Source organism: Homo sapiens, chromosome 5, assembly GCF_000001405.40.
Source record: "Homo sapiens chromosome 5, GRCh38.p14 Primary Assembly".
Lineage (NCBI taxonomy): Eukaryota > Metazoa > Chordata > Mammalia > Primates > Hominidae > Homo > Homo sapiens.
Window position 1 is genome coordinate 171,745,528 of NC_000005.10, and position 12,292 is coordinate 171,757,819.

The 12,292-nt window shown below is 43.1% G+C and overlaps 1 annotated feature.

Annotated features, from left to right (window-relative positions):
* Positions 5,050-5,549: an enhancer, noted in NCBI's record as "H3K4me1 hESC enhancer chr5:171177581-171178080 (GRCh37/hg19 assembly coordinates)". NCBI's record gives its function as "activates a minimal SCP1, AML or CMV promoter by ChIP-STARR-seq in naive H9 embryonic stem cells {active_cell/tissue: H9 hESC(naive)}" and the evidence as "EXISTENCE:reporter gene assay evidence [ECO:0000049][PMID:30033119]".

Here is a 12,292-nt window from a genome sequence, read left to right on the forward strand (position 1 = left end):
GACTTTGTGACTTTGCACCCATGCATTGGCGGAGGAAGTCATTGCATTATAGGACCCTTGCATCTTTTCCTTTGGGCTTTCTTTCTACCCTCAGTGAGCATCAAACCAAAGAAAAGCTTCTTAAAAAAAAAGAACACAAGTTATAAGAGCCACCAATATTTCAAAAACAATTTCACATCTGCACTGAAACTCCTCTACTTACAAACATTCACAGATAAGAACAAAGCCATGCACTAAAGGAAAAGTAGGCCAGCTCCGCCTGCTTCCCCACAGATGGTGAGCAGCAGTCATGCGCATCCATTTTAGTCTTGGCCATCACGTTAGTCATTAGTGTTGGCCCATGAGCTGTTTAAAGAAGTGTCTTCTTACCATGAAAAGAAGAAAGTCAAAGTAAAAACATCTTTGGATACATTTCTGAATCGCTGAAAAGCACCAAGTAGAGCCAGAATCAATGCCAGCACATCACCGGTCCTTTTGAGAAACTCAACTTTATACAGACATGTATACTGCAGAGACTTAGAAAGAAATAGACTTAAACACAGCCTTTTGGATATGATGTATTTGTACATGAATGATTTCTAAATTTCTAACAGCAAAAACAACACTGAGTATTACTTTTAATGCTTTTATTTTAAGCAATGAATGGCATTTTCTAGAATGACCCTACTTTGGCAGTTGACTAGACTAGAATGACTCTGACTATGGCAGACATGGTTAGTTGCCTATTCAACAGCTATTCTCCTACACTTTCTTCCTTCCTGGTGAATTTTCTCTCCAATAGTAGAAGTTGGAAATGGCAGATATTTTCTCAGGTTCCTTTGCATATGCAGCACTGACCAATGGAAATATAAGAAGAAATCTCTAACCTTACAGACTCCTCAATTAAAGAAATCGATGCAGGAGGAAAGGCCTTGTACTTCCTGGTTTGGATACTGTCCAGTGAAGGCGTGATGTCTAGAGCCACCACAACTATTTTGCAGCCATGACATGACAAGTCTAAAAACAAAAAGCAACAGGCTATGGACGGCAGAGCTGAAGAACAAAAAGATGCTGGCTTCTTGATGACAAGGTTGAGCCATAAACCAATCCCAACACACCTACTCCAGACTTCTTGTTATTGAAGAGAATAAAGGTATTTGATAATTAAACTACTTTTAGTTGAGTATTCTTTTACTTGCAGCTGAAACCATTCCAACTAATATGTTCATGAAACCTTTCTATGTATGTCTGAGCTGAGACAGAGAGAGGGCCAGTCTGCCCAGCTCAGGTTTGTACCACATTGACCCCACCTCCCGGCCACAGCTGACTGGACCAGGAATGGACTCCTCATCCAAGCTGAGTTCATCTGAGACTCTCTGCTGGGAATTGAGGATTGAGATTCAGAGACCATTAGATGGTTTCTGCACATAACTTTGGGAGCTATGTACACAGAAAGACATGGAAAGCTCATGTGTGCACATGTAAGAAGCAGCACAGAAGATAAACTGATTGGCTTCAGAAAAGAAGAGCAAGATGGAGTACATAGTTGCCTGGTGACCTTGACCTTCCATTTCCTGGTTCCGGGCCTTCACGACTTTCCATCTATTTACTTTCCACTTTCAGGTCCCATGAAAGACTTCCATTTCCTTTGCTTAAGCTGCTTTGAAATAGGATTCTCTTTATCTCTAACAGCTTTGCCAAGACCCCAGGGAGTTGATGGCCAGGCTAGGGTGGAACTTACATGTCCTGACTTGATGCTGCACCCTGCTACCTGCCAAAACTACAACTCATATTTATTGAGTATTTGCCAAGCACCACGAACTCTTCTAAAGGACGTCTCATGTTATTTTTAATCCTCACAACAATCCTATGAAATAGGTCCTGTAGTAGCTCCCGTTTTGCAGAGGAGGAAACTAAGGCACAGAGATTTTAAGTAAATTGCCTAAAACCACACAGCCAGCATGTGTCTGAGCCAGCATTTGAACTCCAGAGCTCAAGCTTGTCACCACTTTGTTTTACTACCTCCCCTTCCAATTCCTCCTCCCCTCTGTACTGCCCTGTAGACTGACAAATTATCTACATGTTTTCAGTGAGTGCATCTGAACTATCTCCTGACCTCCTACGGCCCTCATAATAGCTCCACCTGGCAGCTACTCACTGCCTGAGGAATCCAAGAGGGCTTCCTGAAAGAGGTGCTATTTGAGTAGATTGTGTAAAGATGAGTCGGAGTTTGCCAAACATTGGAAGAAAGAGAGAGAGTGCCTTAGTCAACTGGGACTGCTATAACAGAATATCACAGACTGGGTGGCTTATAAACACCAGAAATCAATTCTCATAGTTCTAGAGGCTGGGAATTCCAAGGTCAAGGTGCTGGCAGATTCGGTGTCTGGTGAGGACCCCCTTCCTGGTTCATAAATAGACATCTCACTGTGTCTTCTCATGGTAGAAGGGACAAGGAAGCTCTCTGGGGCCTTTTTTACAGGGCACTAACCTCATTCATGAGGGCCATGCCCTCATGCCCTAATCATCTCCCAGAGACCTCACCTCCAAATACCATCACACTGGGCATTAAGATTTCAACATATGAATCTGCAGGGAACATAAACATTTTCTACAGAGAAGGGCATACTAGTCAGAGTTCATAGTTGCAAGTATAGGTGCTGAATCTGGCTTTTTTAAACAGGAAAATAATTCATTAAAAGGATGGCAGGAGCTCTCAAAACTGCTGGGAGGGATGGATAACCACGTTCTAGGCAACAAAGCTGAGAGCATTGCCCTAAAGCATGTCACAGAACTGATCCAATGAGGATATCACTGCCACCTCACCCCCAGCACAGGACACCACAGCTTCCATCACCACAGGGGGTTCCCCGGGTCCCTACTATTCTGCTTCAACAGTTCCTGATGTCAAGGCCATGCCAAGTACATCTGATTAGTAGAGTCCGGGTGACATGCCACACCCTAGCTGCAAGACAGGATGAGAAAGTAGGAGTTGGAATTCTGAGCTCTTATTCCAGGGAATAGACTCTGCACTCACCAAGACTCACAGGAAGGGCATTCAGCTGCTGGGGGCCAAAGACAATGTCAAGCATCTACTACAAGGGGCATTGAAGGCAAAGGGAACAAATCGTGCAACGGTACAGAAAGCGTATGCTTGCCTTGGCTCAGAGCGATGAGATGGTCACTGGGCTCCTTAGAGTATATATTTAGTGCTGAATTCTGCCTCCCGAATTGCCGTTTGGACAGCTTGCCTTTGCATTTCAACGTCTTCTGTCTGCAAGGGCAGACTCAGTTCTTGACAGACCTCAGAAGGCCTGGAGGGGGGCCAAATGCTCCAGAAAGAGTCAAATGCTGCTGAGAAAAAGGAGGAGGTAAGAGTGGTAGAAGGACAGCAGTGGAGAGAGGAGGAGGAAGCGGAGAGCAAGCTCAAGTGTAAAGCCATCACTCTCCTCCAGCCAAAGTTCTGGCTCGTGGCCACCATGCAGATCCCTTTTTCCAAGGCCCAACTCCCAAGAAGAGCAACTTCACCAAAGGAGCCCAGCATTCATAGAAGGTCACCCTTGCTCATGAAACCTACCCTTTCCCAAAAGACACGGAAGTCCTGCTGAGAACAGTTCTTCTTAAAGGGCCAGCTGCCTCCAGTCCAGTCCTCTAAGGCCAAGGCCTTCTCTCATGTGATGCTCAGGGAAGGGGCAGTGACATCTTCTCTAGCTCCTCATTCCTCCCCCAGCCATTAACAACCTGACTAGAAACCCTCCCCCAGGCTCTGGTCCACAAGAAGCCAAATTGAACTAATGTCAGATGGTAGCAACAGCATAGCCAGAGCCCCAGCTTTCTGCTGGAAAGATGTGAGGCTGCTCCAGCCAGGGCAGTGACCCATCAAGCCTCTGCTCATTCTCCCTGCCTTGGAGGGCAGCAGCCATGGGGGCTGGTTCTCAGAGATGCTGAGGGACAAATATCAGACAGGGCTGGAGAGGGTGGGGATGACCAGAGAAGGAGGCCTGAGTTCAGAGTATTGGCTTTCGTCCCCGCAGCCACTTGACCCCAGCTACTCCTTGTCCCAGTGCCCTGTCTTTGCTCTTGAAACAGCAGTCTGCACAGTGGTCTGAACCAGAAACCAGAAGCCACCCTCAGCTCCTCCCTCTTCCACAAACCTAATACCCAAACACCTCTCAGACCCATCACTGCCCTCCCTTGCCTCTGCCATCACCCCAGCCCAGACCAACCCCACAGACCCCACGAGGCTCTGGCCTGAGCCGCCTCCTAACCTTCTCTGCCTTAGTCCCTGTGACTCCCCTTCCGGTGCCCAGACCTCCGGCCAAGCAGCTGACCTCAGTGGTCTCTAGTTTTGCCATCTCTAAATGATCATCTCCATGGTCCCAGAATGGTGGGCAATTTTTCCTGTGGTCCTAGCAGAATGCTCCTGTACAGGAAAGCGCTGAGATTTCTCTCTATTCACCTTAAGGTCTTAATTCCCAGACTGAGGCAATTTTACCAACCCAGGAGACATTTGGCAATGTCTGGAGAGTTTTTTTGGTTGTCACAACTTAGAGAAGCATGCTGCTGGCATCTAGTGCATAGAGAGCAAGAATGTTGTTAAAAATCCCACAACCCCTGCCAGTGAAGCATTATCCCACCCCAAATGCCAGCAGTTGAGAAACCTCACATAAAGGTGAAACTGTTCAACTCACTTCCTGGTGGCCCCTCCTAGGCCTCCCAGAGACCGCCACAAAGGTTTGCCCACCAGCACTCCCATCATCCCCTCTCTCGGGCCCTGAGTGTTCCGCCTGGGCCATCACCCATGACTTTCAGGCCTGGGCATCCCCTCCAGGCAGGGAACATGGATGTCCCAGCCCCCAGCCTCACCGCCACTAGAGGTCCTCCTAGCAGGGCCTGTGCCACCTTGGCAGCCCTCCCAGCAGATCCTGGGAGACACGAGACCCAGTGACTCTGACCATTCAGAGACTGGTCCTTCTCCAAAGAGACTGGAGAGGCAAGCGCCTTCGCTGGTGCCAAGAAGAAGGGCCAGGCAAGGGCCTCTCCCTGGGAGTCACTCTGCTTTGGGCAAAAAAATACGCTAAACAAGAACAAAGCCTGAGTCATTCCTTCTGTCTCCTAGGGCCCAGTGTCACACTCACTGCCAGGAGGGTTAGCCAAGGTTGGGGCTGCAGATGGCTGGGGTTAAATGCAGGAAGCTGGGACAATGCTGGCTGGAGCCACCTCCTAACCTTCCCTGCCCTACCCCCTCTGGTTCCCCTTCAGGCGCCCAGCCCTCCAGCCAAGTGGCTGACCCCTGGTTCTGCCTTCCTGCCTCCAGGCCTTTGCTCACAGCAGGCCCTTCCACTGGAAGGCGTGACCCCTGCTAATTCTACACATGCGGATCCTACCTATTAGGTGCCGCCAAGGAAGGCCCCTGAGTCCCCTCCACTAAGAGATAACATAGCATTTTGAAGGCATACGTTCCCCTTGGTTTCTAGTTACGACTGTTCATACATCACCCTTCCTAATGGACGATGACATTCCCAAGGGCAGGAGATGTCCCATTACTCTCTTAGCCATTGATGCCTAGTACAGGGCTGGGCCCACAGGAGATGGACAACTAGTAGAATAAATATGCCACCTCAGCCATGATCCCTCCTTCCTCTTAGCTTTCTCGTGAGCTCTTCCCTCTGCCTGGAACACCATTCCCACCACCCACCACCATGGTCCGTCTCCCCTTACTGGCTTAAGAGAGTCGCTTCCCTGAAGAGGCCTCCCCAGTTCCCTGGCCCAGGTAAGTGCCCTGCAATATGAACCAATAACAGCTGTGCATCTTTTTTTTCTTTTTTTCGTAGCTTTTGACACATTGCAATTAGGCACTCACCTAACCACCTTCTACTTAGGGAGTTTCCCTGCATTAAGAAACTCTCTCTAGTCTCTCCCTCTGGGTAACGTGAAACTGATGCCCAGAGCAGGCTGAGCACTCATGCCTGCCGAGCCTCAGTGCTCTTCATACTGGGCCCCCTTCCCAACCACATTCCCCTTCCCTTCGTCTTTTCTGGCAGAGCACATATCCCTATAAAGAGGCTGAAAATGCCAGTCACCTGCTTTCCCAGCCTCCCTCGCAGCTGGAACACAGACGTGTGACCAATCCTGGCCAATGAGACCAGAGGAGGAGCAGCTGGGGGCTTCTGGGAAAAGTTTCCTTTCCCTCTTTTTTGTTGGGTGAAATTGTGTCCACTTGTAACAACTGCTAGATGTGGAAGCCATTTTGCACCATGAGCGGAGACACTCCTAATTCTCAGAAGATCGCAGAAAGAAGTCTATGGAAAATACCTGTGACCTTGAGGAGGCTGCTGAGCTACTGCAGCATCTCAAGGGCTTCTCCGTCTCTAGACATCTTCCTACATAAAATAATAAATGTCCTATTGGGTTAAGCTGGTGTTTTTCACACTGTGGGTTGCACTCCATTAATGAGACATGAGATTATATTAGTGGGTCATGATTAGCATTTCTAATAGAATTAAAATAGGAAAGAATAGACAAAAATATTAGGTAGCATCACATAAAGTAAAGGTAAGTGCTGCTTGTGAAAATTTGCTTCAGTTTATACTCTTGCATATGTGCTAAGGGACAATTTAAAATGCGTTTTTTTACTATGCACTGAGAGTTTTTTGAAAGCAAAGCTTAAAACTTGTTTCAGTTAAAGATTCTGTTCCTTGCAGACAAATGCATTATGTCCCATAGAGGTATCCTTCAGCAACCCCAAAAACTTCCACTCTCACCATGTGAGTTGTTTACTGACCAAGAGACCATTGCATTTGCTGTCTAAATCATTTATGGCAGATGTATTCAGTACTGTCATTACATAACTTAATTAAATATTATGCCAACGAATGAAATAAGAGCATTAAAGAAACATTGCTGTTTCTAAGTTGACCACTTTGGAAAGAATCAATAAAGGCAAGTCTCAGAAAACATATCTGTTGGATGGAGGTGAGGAGAAAACTCCAAACAACTGGCAACAAGAGCCACAAAATTCTAGAAAGATTATGCACTTGTATTAATTCATACATATTTTGTTTCACTTTAAAGAAAAAAGATACAGAACTTTATTCTGCAAAGTCAGACGCCACAAAAGACTCTTTCCTACATCACACTATTGGTGACTGAATGTATATGTGAATATTTTCAGTAAAAATAAACTGTGTAAAAGTCATATAGGTATTGTTCTTATAATTTCTTATTGTAACAAAGTTTTTTTTTGATTGACTGCCTACCTTTCCATATCATATTTCACATGGAGCTCTGTGCACAATTGTATGATGTCTCTATTCTACAATTGATTGTAAACTCCACAAGAGCAGAAAACATGACCATCTTGTTCATCACTTTATACTCTGGCACAGTACTGGGTACATAGAAGATTCTTAATAGATATTATTCAAGTGTATAATTAACAAAAGAAATGAACAAGAAAACCCATTAAGTATTACCTCACTTTACTCTCAAAAAAGCCTTGTCAAGTGTGGCAATTCCTCAAGGATCTAGAACTAGAAATACCATTTGACCCAGCCATCCCATTACTGGGTATATACCCAAAGGATTACAAATCATGCTGCTATAAAGACACATGCACACGTATGTTTATTGCGGCACTATTCACAATAGCAAAGACTTGGAACTAACCCAAATGTCCATCAATGATAGACTGGAAAGCATAATAATAATAATAATAAAAAGAAAGTAAAAGAACTCACAAAATTAAGCATACAATCCCCACCGCAAAAAGTGTTGGAATAGGTATATTAATATTAGACAAAGCAGGTTTTAAAAAACATGTATTATAAAAGACTAGAGAAATATTTCATAATAGTAAAAGGGTAAATTCAGCAGGATAGACATATGTCAATAATAATAAATGAATCTGATTGCATAACTTCAAAAAAAAAAAGAAAATGTGGCACATATACACCATGGGATACTATGCAGCCATAAAAAAGGATGAGTTCATGTCCTTTGTAGGGACATGGATGAAGCTGAAAACCATCATTCTCAGCAAACTATCACAAGGACAAAAAACCAAACACTGCATGTTCTCACTCATAGGTGGGAATTGAACAATGAGAATACTTGGACACAGGAGGGGGAACATCACACACCGGGGCCTGTCGTGGGGTAGAGGGAGGGGGGAGGGATAGCACTGGGAGATATACCTAATGTAAATGTAAACAAACCTGCACATTGTGCACATGTACCCTGGAACTTAAAGTATAATAATAAAAAAAAAACCTTGTCAAATAGAGAGGAGTTTTATATTTGTATCTTAAAACTGGAGAGGAATTAGTTGTGGTTCAGAAAAGCAAACTGACGTCAGTCACACTACTAGTACCAAGAACCCACCACCCACTACCCACTACCCGTAAAGCCAAGCCCCCAGAATTCTTAGCTCATGGAATTATTCTGCTGCAAGAAGGTTATGACATGAGGCCATGACATTACCAAAGATTCCTTACTGCATTTTCACTCCCAGGGCTATGATTTTGAAATTCCTTTGGAATTCTGCAGAGAATTCTGAGTTTTGTGAGTTTAATTAACATTTTGAGTGTTATTGGTGAAGTTTTATCAGAGAATCGCTTTTTTTTTTTTTTTTTTTACATGTAAGTCTACAGCCAGAGGCCAGTATTTGGATCCCCAGAGAATGTTTCCAATTTTATGGTAGGAATTGATGGGAAAAGATTATTTTTTACAGAAATTCACCTGACAGCAGAATTTCCTGGGTCACATCTCTTCAGTTAAGTAGAAGATTCCTGATTCTGAACAGTCAAACAATTTAATACCAACTGTCAACTAGCATTGAAGATTTTTATGTCCTTAGTTCAGCTTTGTGCTTGACCTTTCTTGTGCACCTCCCTTTTTTATTCTGGGACATTAATGGTTGTTTATAAAAGAAAACATATAATAAAATTGTAAAATCTGTTTATTCATGTATATATGCTCAAAAATGTGTCAAGGCATGAGGAAGTCTTCTAGGGTACGGGACAAATTCTATGTCTTGACCTGGGTATTGGTTACCCAGGGTATACATTAAAAGACCATTGAGCCACTTAAGATCCATATGCTTTACTGTATGTAAGACGCACCTAAATAAAAAGATTTTTTAAAATGTGTCTGGCTTTAATCTTACAGAGAGCCAAAACTTGATAGATGTAACTAGTACATCCTACAGTAAATCAGTTCAAACCTACAAACATTTATTAAGGGCTTACTATGTACAAGGCACTGTGCTGGACCATGAATAGGACAGAATGTAATGATGATACTAATTATAAATGATTCTTGATACACGATGAGCCCTCAAGAGATGTTGTGGAATAAAAGAATGACTTAATTAATCACTAGCACAGGTAGAGGGGCTAATTTTATTTTATTTTTTTTTTTATTTATTTTTGAGACAGAGTCTTGCTCTGTTGCCCAGGCTAGAGGGCAGTGGTATGATCTTAGCTCACTGCAACCTCCACCTCCTGGGTTCAAGTGATTCTCTTGCCTCAGCCTCACTAGTAGCTGAGATTACAGGCATGCACTACCATGCCCAGATAACTTCTGTATTTTTAGTAAAAATGGTGTTTTACCATGTTGGCCAGGCTGGTCTCAAACTCCTGACCTCAAGTGATCCACCCACCCCAGCCTCCCAAAATACTGGGATTACAGGCATGAGGCACACCCAGCCAAGAGGCTAATTTTAAATAGGAACAGAGATGTACTGTCTCCTGATGCTGAAAAAAGGAAGATAAAGCTGTGTGCATCTTTTTTTTCATAGTTTCTGTCACGTTGCAGTTAGGCACTCACCTAACCACCCTCTTACTTAGGGAGCTTCCCTGGATTAAGAAACTCTCTCTAGTCTCTCCCTCTGGGTAACGTGAAACTGATGCCCAGAGCAGGCTGAGCACTCATGCCTGCCAGGCCTCAATGCTCTTCATACTGGGCCCTCTTCCCAACCACATTCCCCTTCCCTTCGTCGTTTCTGGCAGAGCACATATCCCTATAAAGAGGCTGAAAATGCCAGTCACCTGCTTTCCCAGCCTCCCTTGCAGCTGGAGCACAGATGTGTGACCAATCCTGGCCAATGAGACCAGAGGAGGAGCAGCTGGGGGCTTCTGGGAAGTTTCCTTTCCCTCTTTTTTGTTGAGTGCAATTGTGTCCACTTGTAACAAGTGGACTCTATGCCCCCAGGGAGTGAGACGTTGTTGCATAATGGTTACATAGTTTCTGTTTGGGGTGATGGAAAGTTTTGAAAATAAATCATGGTGATGGTTGCACAACATCGTGAATGTAATCAATACCATTGAACTGTACACTTGAAAACCATTAAAATGGAAAATTTTATGTTATATATTTTTAACTACAACAAAAATATTTCAGAAATATGCCTATTCACACACAAATATGTATTATTCATCCCCACACACCACATCTCTCAGTTAATGTGGCCTATCAATCAAAGCTTAATATCTGCTGCTTTTCTTTCTTATTTGGGGCTATCCTCTACCCTCTCCATCGAACTTCTGTCCCCAGAGTACTGACCCTCATCTCCCCTCACCTTCCTAACTGGCTTTTCTTAATCCAAACATTACACACCAATAAGACGAAACTCCAGCAGTTTTAATAATGGCTCTTTTGTGCTCAAGTATCTCTAGTGAGTCTTAGTGAATTCGTACATCATGGAGCTTCCTGAAGTTTATATTCTTGCCTCTTCACCACAGGGCTGACCTATCTTTCTAGCCTCATCTTGATTGTCTCAACCTTCCATTAAAATGGACTTTTTATTTGTGTCCTTGCTTCTGTTTCTTTATTCAAGCTTCTACTCGATGAAAATTGTTATCTCTGTTAACCTCACCTATTGACATAGTGAATCCTCAAGCTCCCATCCCTAAACAAATATCCTCCAAGAAGTTTCCCCAAGGCTCTCCTCCTCTAGAACTAATTCTCTTTATCTGACTATATATCTTCCTTGGGAGTTCATCTTTTTGTTTTTTTCCAAACTCTTTTTAATTCTAAGATTCTCTGATAATTTCTGAAATATCTGTCTCGTAATTAATAAATATTTATTGCTGGACAATGAAATGTACCTGGATCCTTGGAGTGAATAGTAAAGGCAAGCCTGTGGCAACTGGAGTGCAGCTAATTAGAAAGGGCTAATTAACAAACTTTTAAGACATGGTTTGTTTACGTGGAATACTTTGGGTCTCAATAATCACTGTAAAACCAGTTATTTGCAGCTATTAGATACACATTATACAAACACTAACATTTAAAAATGTGTGGTTACACTAATGTAGTAATATACCACCAAAGCGAATTTCCACCAGAAAGTAGGACTTAGAGATACAGAGGAACATTTCATGATGATGGAAGGATCCATTCAACAAGAAGAAGACAAAAAAAAAATTTGTGTGCACTTAATAATACAGTTTCAGAATATATATGTATAGCAAAAGTAGACTGCAAAAAACACACAAAAAAAAGTTTAAAAGAACAGTAGCCGAGCGTGGTGGCTCATGCCTATAGTCCCAACTACTCGGGAGACTGAGGCAGGCGGATCACTTGAACCCAAGAGTTTGAGGCTACGATGATTTATAATCGCAGCACTGCACTCCAGCCTGGGTGACAGAGAAAGACCTTGTTTCTTATTTTAAAAATAAATAAACAAATAAAAGCAGAAATAGACAAATCTACCCATAAGCCAAGATTTTAACACATCGCCGGGTAACTGATATAAGAAGTGGACAAAAATCAATTAGGATACAACAGACTTTTAAAAATGCTATCAACAAAACTGACCTAATTAACATTTCTTGAACACTATACACAACAACTTCAGAATACACGTAAGTGCACACGGAATATAAAACAAGCATTTTAAAAGTCTCAACAAATATGAGAGGAATATAATCATAAGAGTATGTCCTCTGACCACAGAAAAATTAAACCAGCAATTTTTAAAAAGATGACTAAAGTGTTCCCACTCCTCCTCCTCCACCACCCAGCCATTCTCCATCTTAGCACCAATCATAGCATTTATCACAGCTCGAATTTTATATTTTTAATCTTTTTCATTTTCTTCTTCTTTCCCACTGGACAATAAACTCCATGAAGGAAAGATCTCATCTAGTTTCCTACTGTATTCCCCAGTGTCAGGAACAATGTCTGACTGAAGGCAGGCTCTCAAGAAATATTTGTTGAATAAATGAACAGCACTGATGGAGAGGTTAATCTGAAAAAGACTGGATGTATTGTTTCCTGGTACTGAATAAAGAAGATAAGGGTATGTGTG